This window comes from Homo sapiens, chromosome 4 (assembly GCF_000001405.40).
Source record: "Homo sapiens chromosome 4, GRCh38.p14 Primary Assembly".
NCBI lineage: Eukaryota > Metazoa > Chordata > Mammalia > Primates > Hominidae > Homo > Homo sapiens.
In genome coordinates, this window is record NC_000004.12 from 47,967,611 (window position 1) to 47,992,925 (window position 25,315).

At 36.7% G+C, this 25,315-nt stretch overlaps 1 protein-coding gene and 1 long non-coding RNA gene across 6 annotated transcripts in view; one reads left to right on the plus strand and one right to left on the minus strand.

Annotated features, from left to right (window-relative positions):
• Positions 1 to 23,127, plus strand: part of LOC101927157 (uncharacterized) — a 76,511-nt gene extending 53,384 nt beyond the window's left edge. The window contains exon 3 of the long non-coding RNA NR_125879.1: positions 22,056 to 23,127. This is a non-coding gene — a long non-coding RNA (uncharacterized LOC101927157). The remainder of the gene's footprint in view (positions 1 to 22,055) is intronic.
• CNGA1 (cyclic nucleotide gated channel subunit alpha 1) overlaps positions 1 to 25,315 on the minus strand; it is an 80,705-nt gene that overhangs the window by 31,634 nt on the left and 23,756 nt on the right. For 2 of the 5 annotated variants that reach the window (NM_001379270.1, NM_000087.5), the window contains exon 3: positions 13,783 to 13,890. The exons of 2 other annotated variants lie outside the window; for them this stretch is intronic. The gene's annotated coding sequence lies outside the window, so the exon portion shown is untranslated. Of the gene's footprint in view, positions 1 to 3,285; positions 3,491 to 13,782; positions 13,926 to 25,315 lie in introns of those variants that run through there. One more of the 5 variants, NM_001142564.2, reaches the window with a different exon arrangement.

Below are 25,315 nucleotides of genomic sequence, written 5' to 3' on the forward strand. Positions count from 1 at the left end.
AGGACTGTAAAGTCAATGTAAAAATGAATTTTACTTATATGTAATAGCAAAGAACAACTAGAATATAAAATGAAAATTTAAAATACCGCTGGGTGCAGTGGCTCACACCTGTAATCCCAGCACTTTGGGAGGCCGAGGTGGGCGGATCACAAGGTCAGGAGATTGAGACCATCCCAGCTAACACAGTGAAACCCCGTCTTTACTAAAAATACAAAAAATTAGCTGGGTGTGGTGGTGGGTGCCTGTGGTCCCAGCTACTTGGGAGGCTGAGGCAGGAAAATCACTTGAACCGGGGAGGTGGAGGTTGCAGTGAGCCTAGATCACGCCACTGCACTCCAGCCTGGGTGACAGAGCAAGACTTCGTCTCAAAAAAAAAAATACACATGCCAAGCAATAAGTCTGTGCCCAACTTAATAAATAGCACACATGTACAATGCACAGAGTTCTCTGCCAGTTGGATAAGGAACAAATCCAAAGATGAGTATGCCCCCCAACTAGTAGTGTAGTAGAGGACTATAGGGGAACAAGCCAAGAGTACTAAAATGAACAAGTATTTGGCATCTACAAGGGGATCTTAGATAATTATTTGTAATTGTCCATCATCCTTTCCCCAATTTCTGAGATATTTTGTTTAGAAATTAGTAGATATTTGTACAATGTCATAAGAAAAATATGATTGTTGAAATAACAGATATTTTTTAATATTCTAGGGGAGTTTTTTTTAATCTTTTTCAGCTGTATAATGAAAAGAGGTCCATGAAGAAGATGGAGTTGTACAAAGATATTGAAGCACAGTCTTTCAATCAGGTGTGCTAACACAGTGAATCTAACACAGTGAATCAGAAATCAGCCAATCAGAAAAACGGCTAACATCAGGTGGTTCAATAGAGGGAATTTAATACAGAGCATTAGCTACAAAAGTGTTAGTAATGTCAAACAGAGGACAGTGAGGAAACCCAGAGATTAACAATAATAGGACACTCCTACTGCCCCAAGAGCAGGAGACATAAATGCAAGAGGCTGCTTAAAGTTAGGAATGGCCCACAGGATCTGGGACTAGAAAGGGAGAGTCTCTCTGTTGGAAGAGAAATCATCATGGGAGACACCTCCTGAAACAATAAATTCAAGAGCAAACAGAAAATAAGGGGCCTGGGTAAGTAGGATTTATCAGGTGGAAATGGGGCAGGAGAAAGGCTTCCTATTCTAGGCAAATGGAAATTCATGAGTAAAGATATAGAGGCAGGAGATATTCCTATGGAATTCCTGTGGAAGCCCATCTGGAGAATAGAAATTAAACTGGTTTAATTTCTACACAGAGAGAAAAAGTAAGAAACAGGTCTGTGAAAGTAAGAGTACTGCATCAAAATAGAGGTTCATTCTTCTTTCTACATGAAGTGAAGAGTCATTGAAGATTTTAAGGCAAGAGAATGACATCATCCCATGTTTACTTTAGGAAGACTAATATAGTAGTTTTGTGTAAGGTAAAGTGGATTAGATGCACTATAAATTCCTGCTATGGAGTTTCAACTTGGCTCTTAATACTGCTCATTAATCCTCTTCCTATAGCCACAGAAGCTTTTCCACACCTTCTCCATTAGTGTCAGATCCCACTTCCATCTCCCACCCCCAGGAGACACCTCCTGCTTTAAGAAACTTTAGCCACACTGGTCCCTTCACCGAGACAAATTTCTGGAGGCATGAGCCATGCCCGAATCACTAGCCAGAACCCCACTCCTAGTAAAGTGATTTCCATAGAGCAGAAACACAGAGAACTGTGTTTCGGAAACTGATTCGGAGACTGGGAGAAATGAGAAAATTTTAGGAAACCAAACTCAGTTTTTTGTTTGTTTTTTGTTTTTTCGTTTTTTTGTTTTTTTTAGATGGAGTCTTGCTCTGTCGCCCAGGCTGGAGTTCAGTGGCACAATCTCGGCTCACTGCAACCTCCACCTCCCGGGTTCAAGCAATTCTCCTGCCTCAGCCTCCCTAGTAGCTGGGATTACAGGTGTGCACCACCAGGCCCAGCTAAGTTTTGTATTTTTAGTAGAGACAGGGTTTCACCGTGTTGGCCAGGCTGGTCTTGAACTCCTGACCTCGGGTGATCTCCCCGCTTTGGCCTCCCAAAGTGTTGAGATTACAGGAATAAGCCACCACGCCCCGCCAAAACTAAGATTTTAAAAAAACTGCTTGGCGACTATAATCCTACCATCTTCCATCATTCCTTCCATTCTTGCTTCTTGAGACAAAAATATTTATCAATACCTACTAGCCACAGGAAGTGTACTCAATGTTATGAATACAGATATTAACAAAATATATGATATATGCCTTCAAGAAATTAATACTACAGTGAATAAGACAAAAAGGATATGTAATAGATAAGTAATACTTTTGAAGGAGGTTCTCAGTCAGGGTCCCAACCAAAAAGAAAGGCACACTCAAAATAATTCTGGAAGAGGTTATTTCCAAAGAGACTATTTACAAAGATGTTAGTATAGGGAAACCACAAAGGATGGTTGCAGCAACCTCGGGTTAGAAGTAGCCAAACTGTTAATACCACTGGGATCCAAGGACAAGAAGAGGAATTTAGTGTGGCCCTGGATAGAGGGGGAGTTATGCAGAATAACTATGAGGAACAGTGACTTAACGTTGAAGAACACAGCCAGCACAAGGCAAGCCCACGGGAACAGCATAGCTAGGGTACTCAATACCCTGATCTCACCACCACCTCCCCCAACTCCACAACTGACAAAATTATCTCCTGCTAGGATTACTGCTCACACCTGTAATCCCAGCACTTTGGGAGACTGAGGCAGGTGGATCACCTGAGGTCGGGATTTCGAGGCCAGCCTGACCAACATGGTGAAACCCCATCTCTACTAAAAAAATAAAAAATTAGTTGGGCATGGTGGCGCATGCCTGTAATCCCAGCTACTCGGGAGGCTGAGGCAGGAGAACCACTTGAACCAGGGAAGTGGAGGTTGTGGTGGGCAGAGATTGTGCCATTGCATTCCAGCCTGGGCAACAAGAGCAAAACTCCATTAAAAAAAAAAAAGAAAGAAAACAAGATTTCACCGTTGTCTACTGAATTATTGCCCTTTCTTCTGCCACAGTCTCAATCTCCCTTCCTCCCTCCCTCTGCCTTTCTTCCTACCTCTGGTACCTTGTTATTTTTATATTTTATATACTATATAGTATTTCATCTATGGGACCTCTTTTTGGAAGGAAAAAAAAGGTATTGGAAATCCTTCAAAAATACAGTATGAGGCCAAGTGTGGTGGCTCACACCTGTAATACCAGCACTTTGGGAGGCTGAGGTGGGCAGATCACTTGAGATCAGGAGTTCAAGTCCAGCTTGGCCAACATGGTGAAATCCCATCTCTACTAAAAATACAAAAATTAGCTGGAAATCGCTTGAATCTGGGAGGTGAAGACTGCAGTGAGCCGAGATCGCGCCACTGCACTCCAGCCTGGGCGAAGAGCGAGACTCCATCTAAAAAAAAAAAATACAGTATGCTACCATTTGTAGGAAATATACATATATATGTAAATATCTATATTTGTGTGTGTGTGTGTGTGTGTGTGTGTGTGCTGTGCGTAAAGGAGTGGTGAGAATCTCTCTGGAAAAATGCAACAAGAAAGTGGTAACAGTGATTGCCTCTGAGGAAGGGGAAGTATGGGACTGGGCAATTGGAGTGGAAGGGAAAATATCTTTCACTGTATATATTTTATACATTTTGAATGTTGTATCATGTAAATTAATTACTTAGTGAATATATATACTGACCCCCCATTTCAAAATGCAAAACAGCATATCATTATATATGAATTATGAAATATTCATATATTCATTTTATATGAACTATAAAATATGAATTATATCATTCATATTTCTGCCACCAGGAATTAACAACTGTTGACTTCTGTCAAATTGGCTCTCAGTCCTTTTATGGCATGTGAAAAAAATAAAACTTTATATTTAAAGTTCTTTTAAAAAACCGTGGCCAGGCACGGTGGCTCACGCTTGCAATCCCAGCAAACTTTGGGAGGCCAAGGTGGGCGGATCATTTGAGGTAAGGAGTTTCAGATCAGCCTGGCCAACATGGTGAAATCCCGTCTCTACTAAAAGTACAAAAATTAGCCGGGCATGGTGGCATGCGCCTGTAGTCCCAGCTACTGGGGAGGCTGAGACAGGAGAATCACTTGAACCTGGGAGGTGGAGGTTGCAGTGAGCTGAGATCATGCCATTGCACTCCAGCCTGGGCAACAGAGCAAGACTCTCTGAAAAACAAACAAACAAACAAACAAACAACAACAACAACAACAAAAACCACTGTAATCTCCCAGTCCCTTCCCTATTTCCCTAGGAGCAGTCACTACTGTGAGTTTGGGGTATATCCTTCAGGGTAATTCTTCATCCTTTTACGTACCTATGTAAGCTTCCATAACCAATGTATAGTTTTGCACATGTATTTTAAGTTTGCAAAGCAGTATCTTCCTCTATGCATAATTCTGCAACTTGTGCTTTTTTCACTTGAAACCATTTTGGAAATTATCTATGCTAATATACATACAGCTGTTTCATTTTACAATATTGTTTATTAATATTCCAGCCTATAAATACATAATATTTTGTTCCCCTTTTCTATTTTTATTTCTTTCCTACTAATGAAGGATTGGTTGTTTCCATTTCTTTGCTCTTACTAACAATGCTGCAATAAAAGTCCCTAGTCTTAGGAGACTAAGTCTCCTTAGTCACATGTGCAAGAGTGGTTCTCATGTATGTTTCCAGAAGTGGAACTGCTAGTTCTAGTTTCAGTTCACTAGAGCCAGCCAGATTGCTGCCCAAAGTTGCTGTTCCATTTTGCATTCTGCTAGACCTATGGAAGTAGATCATTTTTTCCCATACCCTGACCAACATTTAATATTGTCAGATTTAAAAGTTTTCCTCAATCCGATGGGTGAGCATTTTTTACCCTACAGTTTTTGATTCACATTTACTAGTGAAGTTAGACAAACTCTCATGTGTTTATTAATCATTTGGATTTATTCTCTGTGAATTACATGTTTATATTCTTGGTCTGCTTTTTTGAGTTGGGTTCTTTAATTCATTCAACATTTAACACATATTTAAGAAATGCCTACTAGGTGTCAAGCATTATTATTGTCCCACAAGTAACTATGTACCTCTGACTATGGTCCTCTGACTATTAACTACAATTTAATTTTACCTTTCTGAAGCATAAAATCCTGCCATCTACTAAAGTCATTTGTGTACTTTACTAACCTGTAAATCCTGTAAGCCATTTCACAACAAATATTTGTTTACCAATTTATGGCTCACATATAGGTTGTATTACATCACCCAAGCAGTAAACTACTTTTGGATAAAATTACAAACTGAATTGAGAAATCCAGTCTGAAAGGCTGATATAGTACACAGACTTTAAAGCACCATCTTTTTTTTTTTTTTTTTTTGAGAGGGAGTCTTGCTCTGCCGCCCAGGCTGGAGTGCAGTAGCACTATCTCAGCTCACTGCAACCTCCACCTCCCCGGTTCAAGCAATTCTCCCACCTCAGCCTCCCAAGTACCTGGGATTAAAGGCACCCACCATCATGGCCAGCTAATTTTTATATTTTTGTAGAGATGGGGTGTGGGGATGGTTCACCATTTTGGCCAGGCTGGTTTGAACTCCTGACCTCAGGTGATCCGCCCGCCTCAGCCTCCCAAAGTGCTGGGATTACAGGCGTGAACCACCGCGTCCGGTCTAAAGCACCATCTTTAAACAAGGATAGTTATATAGTATGCAGCTCAGAGCACTCACACACCACTGAGGTATTACTTGAAGACAGCCAAAGATTATTCAACACGTAGAAGGCTTCCTGTATGCTAGTGGTTTCCAGAGTAGTATTCTGTGTGAATGCCCCTAAAGATTATTACAAATGATGCATTTGTTATTTACATATTATTTGCTATATTGAAATTTAAAGTAAAATATATACCTTTGTAAAATAAATGATGCTCTCTTCTTCATTAGTTCAAACTTTTTGTGAAGAAGGTATTCTAATCCACCAACCAGTTAACTTCGGGATGTGTAAAAAAAAAAAGTGCAGAAGAGTAGGCACTAAATTACATAGCTACCTCTGGACAGTAGTATTATATACTTCTGTTTTATATCAGTTTTACAGAATGAACACATTAATTTTATAATAAAATGATATATTTCAATATTTTTTCTCATATTCTTCTGAACAACTTGAAGAAATGTTCATGATATATTGCTAAGTAGAAAAAGCAAATTGTGGCCGGGTGTGGTGGCTCACACCTGTAATCCCAGCACTTTGGGTGGTTGAGGCGGGCGGATCTTTTGAGCCCAAGAGTTCGAGATCAGCCTGGGCAACATGGCGAAACCCCATCAATACAAAAAATACAAAAATTAGTCAGTCTCATAACCTGGTCTCTAGATAGATAGATAGATAGATAGATAGATAGATAGATAGATAGATAGATAGATAGATGATAGATAGCTAGATAAAACTTTAAAAATAAAATTTAAAAAAGAAAAAGCAAATTGTGAAGTAATATTTATAGTATCATACATTTTATTTTAAAACTGTGTGTGTGTACATAGAACTAATAAGCACTTTAATGTTAAACATTAAATTTTTAGTGGTGGGATCATTGGTATTTTTGTTTTCTTCTTTGTTTTTATCTATATTTTCTCCTAATATATTTCTAAATGAAAAAAGTCATATTTTTAAAACAAGAGTCTGTTTAATATCAAAAATCATTTGTGTCAGCACCTTTGCCTTAAAATAATGTTTTCCATTATTGGGCAGGGTGCATGTTGGTCAAAGGATACAATGTTTCAGTTAGGAGGAATAAGGTCTGGACATTTGTGTCAGCACCTTTGCTTTAAAATAATGTTTTCCATTATTGGGCAGGGTGCATGTTGGTCAAAGGATACAATGTTTCAGTTAGGAGGACTAAGGTCTGGAGATCTGTTATATAGCATGGTAAAAATAAATTTAAAATAAACATTTTCCATAATACTGTTTTTCATCTCACTCGTTCCATCTCAGTATTTAATTGCAGAACTAAGTTTTTTTTTTTTTTTAACATTTAACAACGCTCAGCAAGTTGTGTAACTTCTAGAATGGGTTGTGCCTGCTCTGCAAAAGAGAAACAGCCAGTGCCTGAAAATAGCAATCGCTTCTTCCACAAGGGCTTAGTTTCTAGCCCTAGCTCTTTAGCAAATTACCTGTGAAACCCTGACAAAAAAATCTTTCTGAGTTACAGGGTCCTCTCTTCTGTAAAGTGGAGATAATAATACCTGCTCTGCCTATTGTAATAAGTCTCGATGGGGAGGTAATGAAAAATATGTATAAGGCAATATTGAATGCTGTTTGTGAAAAGTTATACAAATACTAGTTGATAATATTCTTATATGATCTCTAAGTTCAGAAAGAGAGAACCATCAACTTGTTAAAGAGACAAAGAAACTTAAAATGATTAATCTTTCTTTAATCTCTTCCCCTGAAATATCACTTTGAGACTTTAAAATTGTCAAAGCAACTATTAAAGAAAATAATAATTATCCTTATAGGCTCATAAGCCAGCTGTAATTCTCATGAAAAACTAAAACAGAGCTGACAAAACACTGTTGCTATGTTGCCCCAGCACACACAGGGACCTGCCACACTTGGTAAGTCAAATTGTTATCAACGTATAAAGAAAATCCAGTACTTGCTCAGGAAGAAACAATTTTACCAAAGAGATCATTGTTATCATAATCATTATCATCATCTTCACAATTCACAGAAAATGTTAAAGTAGTATCTACAATACAATAAAAAGCTCAATTAATCAAAAGTCAATTAACTAAAACAAACAAATAACCCAATATATTTTCCAATACTCCTTTCTTTAAACAAAATATTTTATAAGAACACAAAGTGATATAAGAGTGTTTTAAACACCAGAGCATGTAAGCATAATTAAGAGCAAGAATTCTGTTTTTGTGCCCTGTTATAATCCCAGTATCTAGAACTGGGAATATTTGTCAATAAATATTTGTTAAATAAGCATTAAAAAGTTATTAGAACTATAAAGTCATATATATTAATTATGATCCTGGGGCATCACAAGATCCTTCATCATCAAAGAAAGTTTACTTTAAAACCAATATGCTATACAATCAAGAGTAAGAACAAAGACTTTGCACAATGGTTGGAGACCTTAATGTGTTATCCTTCCCACTTCTCTACCTTCATTGACTCAGAAAGTATTCACAATTCTGAATATTTAATTATAAAAATTATTAAATATTGATGAACTGAAGTAGTTCCTGACTTTTATCTTAGGGTTCCTCACCCCAATATCTGTTTCACAATGAAATTTCTCTAGAAATTCATGCTGATGACAGGTGTTTTGGAAAGTCTTAAAAAAAAGTCCATGAAATCAATTGTGATGGCACCATCCATTGCATGCATTTCCTATATCTTAAATCACTCCTTTCTCCCTAAGCATTTACTTTCATATGTATATATATATATATATATATACACATACATATATATATACATATATATGTATATATATATATACACATACATATATATATACATATATATGTATATATATATACACATACATATATATATACATATATATGTATATATATATATACACATACATATATATATACATATATATGTATATATATATATACACATATATATATATATGTATATGTGTTTATTATGGGTACAGGTGAATGTCTTACTTTCCCAGTATTCTGTAAGCTTCTTAAGGTCAAGAAACTTACTTCGTTTCTCTTTATATCCCCTGAGAGAAGACAAGTGCAAATTTCTTGATAGTAACAATAAAGATAAGTAACCATATAAAAAGGCAGATACTTAGAACCCAGCAAGGGAGGTTCCCTGGACTGTAATTCCACGGAGATTTTGTCAGTCACTGTGAGCATTCAGCATTTTGTATAACCTTTTTTTCCTACTTCTCTCGCAAGTTTATACCTTATCTCTGAAAAGGGTACATTTAAAGTTTTGATATTTTCACTTGCAAACAATTTACAGATAGCATGTAATCCAATCTGTATTTCATTAATATTTTTGCTTCTCAACATTTGTTGAGCGCTCCCTTTGACAGCAGCATCGTGTAGGTTGCTGAGGTATGGAAGTGAGAAAGAAAAGAAAATAGAATGTTGATTAAGACAGGCTTCCAGCCCTAGAGAAATTAGTAAGAGAAACCTGTAAGTGATAAAAATCTCATATGACAATATCACGTGTGCATAGGCCAACTCTGTTAGAGGTGGGAGAATCACAGAGCTTCCCAAAGCAGGGGATATGTAATTGGATCTTGAAAGATGAATAGGAGTTTGCGACAGTAGAGGAAATGAGCTTTCTTGGCAGAGGAAACAGCATGTGTAAAAGGTAAAGAATGAAGAAAAGAGTAAATATTTCTAATGGCTGGTGTTACAGGCTGAATTGTGTGCCCCCAAAATCCATATATTGAAGCTCTAACCCCAGAATGTGACGGTTTTTGGAGACAAGGCCTTTAAAGAGATGATTAAGTCAAAGTGAGGCCATTAGGCTGGACCCAACCCAATCTGACTGGTGTCCTTATAAGAAGAGGAAACGTGGACATACAAAGAGACAGGAAGGATGATATGCACAAAGGAATGACTATGGGAGGACAGAGCGAAAAGATGACCATCTGCAAGCTAAGGAGGGAGGCCTCAGAAGAAACCAAAACTGATGGCACCTTGATCTTGGACTTCAGCCTCCAGAAGCATGAGAAATAAATTTCTATTGACCACCAGCCTGCGGTATTCTGATATGGCAGCCATAGCAGACTAATACAGCTGGAATTAGGATGTCTGAGTGCTCATGGTTTCTCCTCAACACTCACATAATATAGAGAGCTTATCATCAGTGCACTGACCCATTATTTTATCATGATCCATTTATGTCAGTGTCTCTCCCCCAGACTTGAGGACAGGTCACAGTGAGCTCTGATTTTTATTAGAGTTCATTTAATGAACTCTAATGTCTCCAGAACCTTATACAGTGCCTTATACAGGTTCATAAAAAGCAACAAAATTTTTTTAATTATTGCATTTTATTGCACAAAACACTACTTGCATGTCTAATAAAAAAGTATACATCTACACTCATCACTTTAATGACTGCATTTAAGTGATTTTTTTTTTTTCTTGAGACAGAGTTTCATTCTTGTTGCCCAGGCTGGAGTGCAATGGCACGATCTCGGCTCACTGCAACCTCTGCCTCCCTGGTTCAAGCAATTCTCCTGCCTCAGCCTCCCAAGTAGCTGGGATTACAGGCATGTGTCACTACGCCTGGCTAATTTTGTATTTTTAGTAGAGATGGGGTTTCTCCATGTTGGTCAGGCTGGTCTCGAACTCCTGACCTCAGGTGATCCACCCACCTCAGCCTCCCAAAGTGCTGTGATTACAGGCGTGAGCCACCGCGCCCAGCCCTAAGTGATTTTTATCCTATTTAATGATTATTTATTCCTATGACAGTACAGTGTATACATTTATTATTGCCAGTTGCCTTTAGAATAATTTTATCAAGTCCCCTAAAAATAAACTCTCACAACGTACTTTAAAGAGATTTTTTTAATTTTTGGATTAATTTTGGGAGAATCAACATGTTAACATATTAAATTTTTATCACATGACAAGGGATGTCTTCTCATTTACTAATTTACTTCTTAAAATTTACCTTGTATGTCTTTGTAATTTTTATTAAATAAGCTAGGCACATTTCTTATTAAATGTACTCTATGTATTTAAATTTGTTATTTCTAAATAAAATCTGTTGTATTATACCGTCTAACTATTAATAATTATTACTGGTCTAGAGGAAAACTACTTATATATTTATTTTGTAGCCTATCATCTTCCTAAGTATCTTGTCAGTTTTAATATAGTTTTAAATTGATCCATTTGGGTTTTCTGGATAAACAATCATATTAACCACAGGTAATGATAATTTTCTCTCTTCAAAGTATATATCTTATTCTTTTTTCTTGTTTTATTGTGTTGGGTAGAATTTATAGAACAATGTTAAATAATAGATATTCTATCAGGCACTCCTTGACTTCTTGTTTCAGTCTCTAGAATTTCTCCTATTTTGCCCATTAATTTCAGATAAATTTTTCTTATTTTGTCAAAGAAATTTCTTTATAAAAAATTTTCTGTTTTATCAAGACTATATCATTGCATTTAATCAATTACCTTTTTATCAACTAAAGCTATAAAAATTGTTAAAGCTCAAGTTGATTTGTACTTTGGAAAGGTAACATTTGAGAACCATTACCTATAACTGTAAGCACTTGTCCCAGACTATCAAGTAGCTATATTAGCATTGTTCAAAATCTTGGCACAGGCTGGGCATGGTGGCTCACACCTGTAATCCCAGCACTTTGGGAGGCAGACATGGGAGGATAGCTTGAGCTCAGGAGTTTGAGACCAGCCTGGGCAACATGGCAAAACCCCGTCTCCACAAAAAATACAAAAATTCGCTGAGTGAGGTGGCTCATGCCTGTAATCCCAGATACTCAGGAAGCTGAGGCGGGAGGATCGCTTGAGCCCAAGAGGCGGAGGTTGCAGTGAGCCAAGATCGCACCAGTGCACTTCAGCCTGGGCAACAGAGCAACACTCCATCTCAAAAAAAAAAAAAAAAAAAAATCTTGGCACAAGGGTTGTCTGCTCATGGGAAAGGACATTATATTTCTACTTTAAGGATATGTAAGAAAGGACCAGCTGTGTAAATTTTGCTTAATGCCATACCCAAAACTTATAAAATATAGTAGCCCAGATACCACATACTATCACCTGAGGTAAATGGCTGTAGCATCCTATGGATTTACTCCTTTGACCTATTGATGGGGATATAGTAGAAAACAAAGGAAAGTTTCTGCCTAGGAAAATGCCTAGCGTTAGAGTAGGAACTAAATAAATATTTGTTGAATAAATTAATAAGTAAAAAATATTTAGGATGCAGTAGCTTTTTTGGAGGTAGTTCTTAGACACTTTTTAAAATTTTGCTCATGATTTGTAGTCAACTTAACTCTTGATTCTTAATTTAAATTTGACATTTGTTTTTCTACAAAATAATTTATTTTACCCAAACTTTTTAGTTTTCAACACATTAACTTTCTAACTTAAAAAATTACCTCCAAGAAAAAGAGAGTGATCTGCAATGGCTGTTTTGTTGATATCTTCAATTAAAGAGGTTTCTTTTCCTTTTTGAAAAAATTTTTTTCTCTAAGGACTAGGGTCTGTTATTTACACTTTCCTCATTAATTTCTAACTTTGACTGTGGCCTGTATAGTTTTTTGCTTTACTGAGATTATTTTTGTTAACAATGTTTGTAAATGATTCCAGAATGGAGAAAAGAGGGCGTATTCTCTAGGGGACATAAGGTACAACAGGTAAATAATAGGCCTTTTAATTTCATTGACACCCTAATACTTCACTCCCTACCCTCTTTTATTTGCTGAGTGGGAAAATGACAATGAAATGAGTGATTGGTGTTTATGGGTGTTAGCCAAGTGAAAGAATGAGTGTAATTGAACAAACTGATTAAAGGATATATAAACAAAAAGTCAAAATGTAAAAAGCCCGTTTTAAGAGGTATCTTTATTGATAGAAACATTTTAAAATCTTGTTTTAAGACTGTTCAACTTTCCAATATAGAATGAAATCACTGATATTTTGAAACATGTAATCTTATTACATGATGAATGCAGTACGCATTTTTTAATTAAAGAAAAACATGACAGTAATTGATAACAGTTTTTTATTTTTCTTTCTTTCTTTTTTTTTTTTTTTTTTTTGATACAGCGTCTCTCTCTTTCACTCAGGCTGGAGTGCAGTGGTGTGATCTCGGCTCACTGCAACCTCAACCTCCTGGGCTCAAGTGATCCTCCCACCTCAGCCTCCTGAGTAGCTGGGACTACAAACACATGCCACCACACCTGGGCTAATTTTTGCATTTTTTTAGAGACAAGGTTTTGCCATATTGCCCAGGCTGGTCTCCAACTGTTGGGCTCAAGGATCTACCTACTCCAGCCTCCCAGAGTGCTGGGATTACAGGTGTGAGCTACCAGGCCCAGCCAATAACTGTTTTTTCTGATTAAAATATACACGCTTATCACAGTTATTTAAAAGAAGGCAAGGTGATTTAAATTCTAGCTCCTTCATAGAGTAGTATTGTATCCTCGGGCGAGGCACTTAATCTCTTCAGACCACTTATTCATCTCTGAAAGGGGATATGCAGGTTGTTATAATAATGTTGATAAAGTATCTGATACTTAAGTTTCCAGTGAGTTGGAGCTCTTATTTTTAGGAGTGAATTCTTTAAGATTTACATGAGTTTGATAGTGTCCTATCTCCAAATTTTAGAAAGAAAAATCAGTATATGACACTTCCTTTGGGGAAAAACATACCTGTCAAAGGTATTGTTTTTGACTTCTAAAAATAAAACTAAAATTTGTGAAAAGCAGGTAGCATTTACTATTTTGTGATATTCAGATTAGCAGAATCATATTGCCAGGTAGAGTATTCACTTATCTGTCAAAAAGACAGAGAAGTTAATAAAAATACAATCATAGCTGTATCTAGAGAGCACATCACATGAAAAGCAAAGCAAAAGCTGAAACTTTAAAGAGTCAAAACAGAAGTATAAGCATTTGTGAAAAATATAACTCTAATTATCGTTATCACTGGGTTCTTACCTTTGGTTGTTTAAGTAATATAACTTTGTCTTCTAGAAGTGGACGTCACTGGTGTATCCAAACAAACAGGGATATACGGTAAATCTTGACATTGTCAAAATCCAGGCCCTAATTTTTTAAAAATAATAAACATGCTGATTTTTTCCCTTTCCTCAAAGATACACAAATGGCTAGTTTTCAAAATTATTCCCAGGGAAATAAACAGTTCGTCGCATTGTCAAAGTAGGATTTTCATGACTCGGCATTGGATTTGCGGATTTACACATGGATGAAAATAACAGCAACATCATTATCCTTTGCTTGAGTCTGAGCCTATTAATATGAATGAGAGTTAGAAATAAAAGAGGGGTTCTCAAAGCTACATCTCTCAACAAATTTGAAAGTAAACCACATGTACTATTGCCTGATGAATTTTATTAAAATTATACCTCCAACTTCACCCAGGGTTATCATCTTGAAAATAGCGTCTAGGTTTTTTACAAAGTATAATTACATTTTCAAATACAGTGCCATGATATTAAAAGTTATTTAAAATATTAGTAGGATGCACTTCATTAGTCATTGATCTTTTAATTGTCTATTTTATGGAGGAATTGCATATTTGACAGATACCTAGTCAAGAAATAAAATAGGATAAAGCTGAGCTTGCCTGAAAGAAAAATTCATGCTTTAGATGTATAAAAATCATCACAATATTTCAGTTAGTGTCTCAGTGTTACTCTAATAACCTAAAAGTAAATTTCCCTAAGAACTCTTTTATGCAATATATGACAGGCTACATACTCACAAAACTTTTGCTTATGGCTGAAAATCAGAATGACATGAAATAAATACTGTTTCCATTTAGCAAAACTGCCTTTATTTCCATCTATTAGCTCCAAAAATACATCATGCATTCTCCAGTATTTGCAATATTTTTCTTGCTGAACAATGAACAACCGAGTAACACTTATTGCCTCAGTTGAATGGTTTCAGCTCCAGTAGCGTAGGAGGCTCTCAAGAGAGGAGGCACCTCAAGATGCCTAGCAGAGAAAATTAGAGGAGTACTGTGTACCTTAGGAAGATTGACTTCTGAGTTCCAGAATTGTAAAAATTAAATTCATATTTCTAATATAAAACATGCTTCATAAAAAGATATTACAGAAAGAAAGAAAAGAAAATGGAAACATAGTCTTACTATTTTGGCATAACCAATATTAACATTTTCCTTATACCTACCATTATATTCTTAAATTAAAATTATTCTGATTTTATGTAATATTATATTATGATAATATTTATATCGCTAAATATCTATCTAATGCGTTCTTTTTAAGATTACATAATCTTCTATTGTATTTCATTATACCATAATTCATTGATTCATTTTCCTATTATTGGATATTTTTTCCTCTGGTCTAAAACATTTCAAAATGAACATTCTTTTTTTTAAGATGGAGTCTCGCTCTTTCGCCCAGGCTGGAGTGCAGTGGTGCCATCGCGGCTCACTGCAGCCTCCATCTCCCAGGTTCAAGCAATTCTCCTGCCTCAGCCTCCCAAGTAGCTGGGATTACAGATGTGTGCTACCAAGCCCAGAAATTTTTGTATTTTTAGTAGAGATGGGGTTTCGCCATGTTGGCCAGGCTGGTCTCAAACTCCTGGCCTCAAATGATCCGCCCACCTGGGCCTCCCAAAGTGCTAGGATTACAGGCGTGAGCCACTGAGCCCAGCCTCAAAATGAATATTCTTACTCTTCATTATGTACCTCTGTGATTAGTGTTTACTTAGAAATTAGATCACTGGATCTAAAAAAGTGTATTAACACATGTGGTCTCTTGTGCCACAATTTAGCTTTATGCTAAAATGTTATTGTGTCCATCCTTTTATATCATGCTTCTCTCTAGACTACCTAATCTGCTTAAGAAAATAAGCCCCTTGGCGGGGCGTCGTGGCTCACGCCTGTAATCCCAGCACTTTGGGAGGCTGAGGCGGGTAGATCACAAAGTCAGGAGTTTGAGACCAGCCTGACCAACATGAGGAAACCCTGTCTCTACTAAAAATACAAAAACTAGCTGGGCGTGGTGGTACAGTGCCTGTAATCCCAGCTACTCAGGAGGCTGAGGTCGGAGAATCACTTGAACCCAGGAGGCAGAGGTTGCAGTGAGCCGAGATCACACCACTGCACTCCAGCCTGGGCGACAGAGCGAGACTTTGTCTCAAAAACAACAACAACAAAAAAAAAGTAAAAGAAAAAGAAAAAGAAAAAGAGAATAAGCCCCTTGCCTTGAATACCATGGCAGTGTCTTAAGTCTATCTCTATGAAATTAATGGTAAATATTTGGAAACCCATGAAGTAATCAACAGACACACAAAGAAATTATCAAGAGAATGAACTTAACTTTCTTCAAATCCTAAAACAATTCTGTGAAGTAGAAAAGGTATCTACTTCATCTTTTGAAGAAGAAAATGAAGGCTGGGAGATGAGGTCATTTGTCCAGAGTCACAATGGCTGCTACCATATCAGAGTTAGCTGTGATTCACACCCAGAGAGGGTTACTAGATTTGGCAACTAAAAGTACAGTATAAGTATATATCAAATATTGCATGAGACAAACTTATTTTAAAAATTGGGTTTTTTAAATCTGAAATTCAAATTTAACTGGGTAGTCTGTGTTTTATCTGATACCTCTATGTCTAGGCCTATCTGACTTCAGAGCACCACACTACTTTTGACATCTGGAAGGTAAAAACATGGAAAATTAGTCAAGTCGCCTATTTCAGCAAATTGCCTCTAACAGTGATAGCAAAGAATTCTTCTACAGAAAAACGTTTTTCATCAACTGTTATTCAATTTCCTCATCTTTACATTGAATGCACCTGTAAACCCCTTAGCACTTTACCTGCATACAAATGCAAAATTTGATAATGCCCACTATTACTTTTTATAATATTCTTGTCCCTTGAGGCCCGGTGTGGTGGCTCACACCTGTAATCACGGCACTTTGGGAGGTGGAGGCAGGTGGATCACACAAGGTCAGAATTTTGAGACCAGCCTGGCCAACATGGTGAAACCCCGTCTTTACTAAAAATACAAAAATTAGGCAGGCATGGTGGTGCACGCCTGTAATCCCAGCTACTCAGGAGGCTGAGGCAGGAGAATTGCTTGAACCCAGGAGGCAGAGGTTGCAGTGAGCCAAGATAGTGCTACTGCAGTACTCCAGCCTGGGCAAGGCATTGAGACTCCATCTCAAAAAAACAAACAAACAAATAAAAAAAATATATATATATATATACACACACACACACACACACACACACACACATATATATATAATATATATAATTGTCCCTCACATCTAAGAAATGTTTTTTAATTACCCAATTTGGATCTAGCATTCATGAAAGTACTCAGACCAGACCTCTGTGGGTCTCCTTAATATTTTCAACTTAATATTGCTTCTTGGGGAGTTAAGATCTTCAGAAAATGACTGCCTGTTGTTGAATGTGGAAGACCTTTTTGTTTTTACATTCAGTGTTCACTTTACTTTAGCCTCTCTAATGCCAACTGTTGTTATCCACTTTGGGGGAGTTTTCTACGATATCACACTGAGCTTAAATATATGGGTTTTGTAGTCCCAGGACTGAGTTTGAATCTCAGCTCTGCTGTTCACTAGCTCTGGGATTTGGAGCATGATAATGAACTGCTGGGTCTCAGTTGCAGTTTTCATGAAATGAGCATAATAATATCTAGTAGGTTTATTGTGAGGATTAAATGAGACATAGTAATATGAAGCATTTATTACTGTTCCTAAAGCATTGTAAATACTTGAGAAGAGGCTATCAATTTTAAAAAGACAAATATCAAAGTTAAACTTTGTTTTACAATAATTGCATTGCAATAAATTTACATGGTTTCTTTTTAAAAGTGGAAGATATATTTTCTGGTTAGAAAATATACCAGGGTTAATTAGAGCAATCTTCTTGCAGTCCTACCTACCTCATACACAGATGATGTGATTATAATAAACATATCTAAAAAGAAATCAAAATGACAAGATCCAGAATTCGCTCCCATAGGTAGCCATGAATGTTTATTTTCTTCATGGTTTGCTTGTTACTTGAAACTTTCTTAAATGATTTTAATGAATTAAATAAAACAGGGTAATGATTATAGTAAACCTTTCTTCCTTCAGCCAACTTAAATCTTGGTCAATATCATGAAACTTCATAGAACTTGTCATTATAAAACAGCTCTTCCACAATGAATCTCACATACACACACACTCTCTCTCTCCATATTCCAAATAACTGATTTGATTTATCTCAAAAATAAAGCAAATTATTGCTTTCTTTACTAGCTCTCACACTTCCTTCGTCTATCTTCCCCCACCCCCCCAAAAAAAACCATATTTAAGAATGAACTAAATATTACGGATTCCTGGGATCATGTGGATTAGTTGTGTGGTCTTGAGAAAATTACTTAGCTTTTTCAAGGTTCAATTTCCTTATTTGTAAAATGGAAATAACACCTACCTCATTAGGTTTTTCTGAGACTTAAATGGATTTAGCATTTCACACACTGTCAGTATATAAAGAGGACACTTCATAATTGTGCTCTCTCTTCCTTTTCCTTCCTTCTAAAGTGTGGAGCACCTAAACTGGAGCTTTGCAGCATATTGCTGAGGGCTTAACTGTACCCATTATGCTGCAATGGGAGTTTTCATAAGCAGATATCTGTGGCTGCTAAGTAATTAACTTGTGCCAGGTGCAGTGGCTCACACTTGTAATCACTTTGGGAGGCAGAGGTGGGCGGATCACTTGAGGTCAGGAGTTCGAGACCAGCCTGGTCACTATGGTGAAACCCCATCTCTACTAAAATACAAAAATGAGCAAGGCATGATGGTGCATGCCCATAATCCCAGCTATTTGGGAGGCTGAGGCAGGAGAATGACTTAAACCCAGGAGGCGGAGTTGCAGTAAGCCGAGATTGCACCACTGCCAGCCTGGGTGACAGAGTGAGACTCTATTTCAAAAAAAAAAAAGACACAAAGCCATTTTTATACCTTGTTTCTAAGTAATTTATTATATAATTCTAGCAAAATATAACCAGGTGAAGTAATTTCAATTTATTTTCAATTTTCATTCAATATTTTCATTTTTAATGAGAATCTGTGTTTTCATGTGTGTAGAGTGTTTAACAATGCAAAATAATAATCCTTCATAAAGGCATAAAATTTGCTCAAATGTTTGTACATTCATTTCACATATAATTCTTGAGTATCTACGGTGTGCTGGGCACTTTTCTACGAGGCACAAAGAAAAGTTCCTTCCTCAGAGACTCCACAGAGGCAGGACACAGGCAAACAAAAAAATAAAAAAAAGAGAGAGAGAAAGAGAGATGATTACAAAACAGTGTGATAAAGGGCTGAGAGATTACATACAAGGAGCCCAAAAATTTGGGGAGGAAAGGAACTGAACTGGAAGGCTTTGGGAAGATTATCTTTTTGCTGAAATTGAAGGTAAGTTGGAATTTCATGTGCATATATAAAACTTACATACTACAATATTTTTCTGATTTATCCAAGTTTAAAAGGATAAGAGTATTGTGTTGTGTTGTGTTGTGTTGTGTTGAGTTGTGTTGTGTTGTGTTTTCCCCTCCAAAGCATGATTAGCTTGACCCTGTATACCTATCACTGGATTTCTTTTCCGGGTACCTGCAGTAACCTTGACTGATAGAACATAGCTGCATTGGATTATCTATTTAGTAGGCTACTTTTAATCTTGTTCCCTGTCTTGCTTTGTCAGCTCCCTCTAAATCTTCATAATCCTATTTAACCTACCTCTAACTATAGATGCTCATTTGCATGACACTGATTCTCTGTATTTTTATTCAAAAATTATATGATTTGAGGGATTCTGGCTCTTGATCCTAAGTTATTAAATATTTGATAGTCTGTCTTCCTACACACCAAGACCTTCAGCCAGAGTGGTCAATGATGCCTTCATGTTTATAACCATAATAATTAAACGTTATGTAATTAATTGTTTATATCTATTTCCCCTGTAGGAACTGTAAATGTCATGAGATCAGGAACCGTGTCTATGTTGCCCATTACTTGTCCATTACCGTATCTCTAGCATTCAGTTTGATACTATGCATAGTCATTCATTCAACAAATATGTAAATATTAAATGACAGGCTCTCTTCTAAGCATTGCAGAGTCAATAGGTAACAAAACTAATTTCTGCCCTTGTGGAGCATACACTCTAATAAGATGGGAAAGACAATAAATAAAGTAATAAATATATAAGCACTCAGATGTTGATTATTGATATGATAAAGAAGAAAACAAGGGAAAGAAATAGAAAATGATATGGGGTGGGGCAGGACTATCTTAGATGGGGTTTTCAGGAAAGGCCTCATTTAGCAGAGACCTGAATATAGACACAGAGGTAGCCATGCCCACTTCCAAGGGAAGAGTTTGCCCAGCAAGAAAACAACATGTGCAAAGACAGAACTGTGTTGGTGTGTTTAATGAAAAGCAGAGAAGCCACTGTGGCTAAGTTAGAGGAAGCAAGGGGAAGAGGGATTTAAAGAGTTAAGGTCTTAGAAGATAGATCAGGTGGAGAACAGTCAGGAGGCAACTGTAGTAATTCATTCAGTGAGAGGTGAGCATGGTTCAGACCAGGTTGGTACAGGTGGAAGCGGTGAGAACGGGTCAGATTCTTGATATATTTTTAAGACAGAGGCAATAAGATTTGGTGATTGATTGTTTGTGGGGTGTGTGTGAAACAGTGAAGTCAAGGATGACTGTAGATTTTCTTACTTAAAGCTACTAAAAAAGAGGTTGCAATTTGATGAGACAGGAAGGACATAAGGAAAAGCAAGCTTGGGGTAGAGGGGAATTAGGAGTTCTATTTGAAAAATAAGGCATTGTAGGCTTTTTTCTCTCACAAAAAACAGGAAAATAAAGAAAAAGGAAAATAAGGCATTGTACACGTCAGTGCCTCAGTAATATTCATTGGAATGAATGAATTAAACACTTCTGTATTTTTTTTACTTAGGATTCCAAACAAGAGGAAATGGAGGCTATACAGCTCTCAGAGTAGCAACATTAATAATGAGATAAACTCCACCTTAAATGGGTTGAGGAAAAAATAATAATAATGAAATAAACAACACTGCCTTCCACAGCTCTTTGAGTGCAAAAGTTCTCATACAGATTTCACTGGCAAAGTCTGGGGGTCCAGGACTCAATGATATTATATTTAGTATAATATTGTAATTTAGTATAATATCATAATTTAGTAAATATATACAAGTGTGTTCTTTTCTGAGACAATTCATCAAATTGCCTCCTCAAAATAGCTAATGTGAGTCAATATATTCATTCATTCAGTGTACATTTATTTAGTACCTATTAACTCTTCCTCATTAAAAGACCTCAATTTGAGTCCACAGTACAGTCATCCCTAGGTATACGTGGTGATCGGTTTGGTTGAAAAAAATCCACATATAAGCGGACCCATGTAGTTCAAGCCCAAGTTGTTCAAGGGTCAACTTTAAATAGAATGTACAGGATTAAGAAAATGCTATTGTTCTTAGTTTTAAAAAAAAAAAGGATATTACATGCTAGACACTGGGCAAGGGAGTGTTCATTAGATCCCCTACTGTGAAAAGCAATTTGCCTAGTCAAGAGTATCACCTTGGGACATTAGACAAACTTTGGTTAAAATTTCAAATTTTCTACTTGCTTAGCTGTGTTACTTAGGTCAAGTTACGTCCTTCATGATTTCTTAATTAAATGATCAATCTAATGTGTAAACTGCCAAAAATGAGGTGCTCCATCTATGGTTAGATTCCTGCTAATGAGCAAACTATCTTTGGTTATAATTTAACTTCTCAGGTAGATTTGTTTACAGGGAAACTCATTAGTTACAGAACATGAGCATCCAATCTGTAAAACCAGACCCTTGAAAGTTAATTTTATATGAAATCTGTCCAGAATCCCTTAATCACTGAACAAGTAAATAAAATAAAATTTTGATCACACACAATTCTACCTCTGGGAGTTGTACACTTACCAGGGTACCATCATTCTACGGTAACTGAAATTTCAAGCCCCCTCATAAATTACTAACCATTATAAAATAAGTAAATTATTTATTATTGTGTCTGAATTTAAATGACCTTGAAAACTGATAAAATTTTGGTCAGTCTTAAAGATCTAAGAAAAGTTAAATAATCAAAATTTAGCACCTGATTTAAAAAAAAATTTTTTTTGTTTCCGTAGGTTATTGGGGAAGCTGGTGGTGTTTGGTTACATGAGTAAGTTCTTTTGTGGTGATTTGTGAGATTTCATTGCACCCATTGCCCAAGCAGTATACACTGAACCCTATTTGTAGTCTTTGCTCCCTCACCCCCTTCCCACCCTTTCCCCCTGATTCCCCAAGTCCATTGTGTCATTCTTATTGCGGGAAGTCAAGAACCCCAAACGGAGGGACCAGCTGAAGCTGCAGCAGAAGAACATAAATTGTGAAGATTTCATGGACATTTATTAGTTCCCAGAATTAATACTTTTATAATTTCTTATGCCTGTCTTACTTTAATCTCTTAATCCCATCATCTTCATAAGCTGAGGATGTGTGTTGCCTCAGGACCCTGTGATGATTGCATTAACGGTACAAATTGTGTGTAAAACATATGTGTTTGAACAATATGAAACTGATTGTAAAACATGGGTGTTTGAACAATATGAAATCAGTGCACCCTGAAAAAGAACAGAATAACAGTGATTTTCAGGGAACGAGGGAGGATAAAGGTCTGACTGCCTGTGGGGTCAGGCAGAATACAGCCATATTTTTCTTTCTGCAGAAAGCGAGTAGGAGAAATATCACTGAATTCTTTTCTCAGCAAGGAATAAACCTGGGGAAGGAATGCATTCTTGGGGGGAGGTCTATAGATGGCCACTCTGGGAGTGTCTGTCTTATGCGGTTGAGATAAGGGCTGAAATACGCCCTGGTCTCTTGCAGTACCCTCAGGCTTACTGGGATTGGAAAATTCCAGCCTGGTAAATTCTAGTCAGACCAGTTCTCTGCTTTCGAACCCTGTTTCCTGTTAAGATGTTTATCAAGACAATGCATGCACAGTGGGACATAGACCTCCATCAGTATTTCTAATTTTGCCTTGCCTTGTGATCTTTATTGCCCGTTGAAGCATGTAATCCTTGTGACCTACTCCCTGTTTGTACACCCCCTCCCTTTCTAAAATCCCTAATAAAAACTTGCTGATTTTGCGGCTCGGCGTCACCATCATGGTCCTACTAATATGTGATGGCACTCCCGGAGGCCCAGCTGTAAAATTTCTCTCTTTGTACTCTTTTTCTTTATTTCTCAGACCAGCCAACACTTAGGGAAAATAGAAAGAACCTACGTTGAAATATGGGGGCTGGTTCCCCCAAAACATTCTTATGCTTTTGCATCCTCATAGCTTAGCTCCCACTTACGAGCGAGAATATACAATATTTGGTTTCCCATTCCTGAGTTACTTCACTTAGAATAATAGTCACTAATCTCATCTAGGTAGCCATGAATGTCATTAATTCATTCCTTTTTATGGTTGAGTAGTATTCCATTATATATATATACATGTATATACACCATGATCTCTTTATCCACTCATTGATTCATGGGCATTTGGACTGATTCTATGTTTTTTGCAATTGCAAATTGTGCTGCTATAAGCATGAGTGTGCAAGTATCCTTTTTGTATAACAACTTCTTTTCCCCTGGGTAGATACCGAGTACTGGGATTGCTGGATCAAATGGCAGTTCTACTTTTATTTCTTTAAGGAATCTCCACACTGTCTTCCATAGTGATTGCACTAATTTACATTCCCACCAGCAGTGTAGAAATGTTCCCTCTTCACCGCATCCATGCAAACATCTACTATTTTCTGATATTTTGATTATGGCCATTCTTGCAGGAGTAAGATGGTATTGCATTTCGCATTGTGGTTTTGATTTGCATTTCCCTGATCATTCGTGATGTTGAGCATTTTTTCATATGTTTGTTTGCCATTTGTATATCTTCTTTTGAGAATTGTCTATTCATGTTCTTAGCCCACTTTTTGATGGAATTGTTTGTTTTTTTCTTGCTGATTTGTTTGACTTCATTGTAGATTCTGGATATTAGTCCTTTGTCAGATGTATAGATTGTGAAGATTTCCTCCCACTCTGTGGGTTGTCTGTTTACTCTGCTGACTGTTCCTTTTGCCAGGTAAAAGCACTTTAGTTTAATTAAGTCCCAACTATTTATCTTTGTTTTTATTGCATTTGCTTTTAAGTTCTTGGTCATGAAAACTCTGCCTAAGCCAATGTCTAGAAGGATTTTTTCAATGTTATCTTCTAGAATTTGTATAGTTTCAGGTCTTAGGTTTAAGTCTTTAATCCATCTTGAGTTGATTTTTATATAAGGTGGGAGATGAGGATGAACTTTTATTCTCCTACATGTGGCTAGCCAATTATCCAAGCACCATTTGTTGAAAAGGATGCCCTTTCCCCACTTTATGTTTTTGTTTGCTTTGTTGAAGATCAGTTGGCTGCAAGTATTTAGGCTTATTTCTGGGTTTTCTATTCTGTTCCATTGGTCTATGTGCCTATTTTTATGCCAGTATCATGCTGTTTTGGTGACTATGGCCTTATAGTATAGTTTGAAATCAGGTAATGTGATGCCTCTAGACTTGCTCTTTTTGCTTAGTCTTGCTTTGGCTATAAGGGCTCTTTTTTGGTTCCATATGAATTTTAGAATTTTTTTATAGTTCTATGAAGAATGATGGTGGTATTTTGATGGGAATTGCATTAAATTTGTAGCTTGCTTTTGATAGTGTGGTCATTTTCACAATATTGATTCTACCCATCCATGAGCATGGGATGTGTTTCCATTTGTTTGTGTCATCTATGATTTCTTTCAACAGTGTTTTGTAGTTTTCCTTGTAGAGTTCTTTCAACTCTTTGGTTAGGTATATTCCTAAGTATTTTGGTTTTTTTGCAGCTATTGTAAAAAAAAGTTTGAGTTCTTGATTTGATTCTCAGCTTGGTTGCTGTTGGTGCATAGCAGAGCTACTGATTTGTGTACATTAATTTTGTATCCGGCAATTTTGCTGAATTCTTTTATCAGTTCTATGAGTTTTCTGGAGGAGTCTTTAGGATTTTCTAGGTAAACAATCATACCATCAGCAAACAGTGACAGTTTGACTTCATCTTTACTGATTTGGATGCCATTTATTATTTATTTATTTATTTATTTATTTATTTATTTAGTCTGATTGCTCTGGCTAGGAGTTCCAGTGCTATGTTGAAGAGGAGTGGTGAGAGTGGGCATCCTTGTCTTGTTCCAGTTCTCAGAGGGAATACTTTCAACTTTTCCCCATTCAGTATTATGTTGGCTGTGGGTTTGTCATAGATGGCTTTTATTACATTGAGGTATTTCCCTTGTATGCTGATTTTGCTGAGAGTTTTAATCATAAAAGGATGTTGGATTTTGTTGAATGCT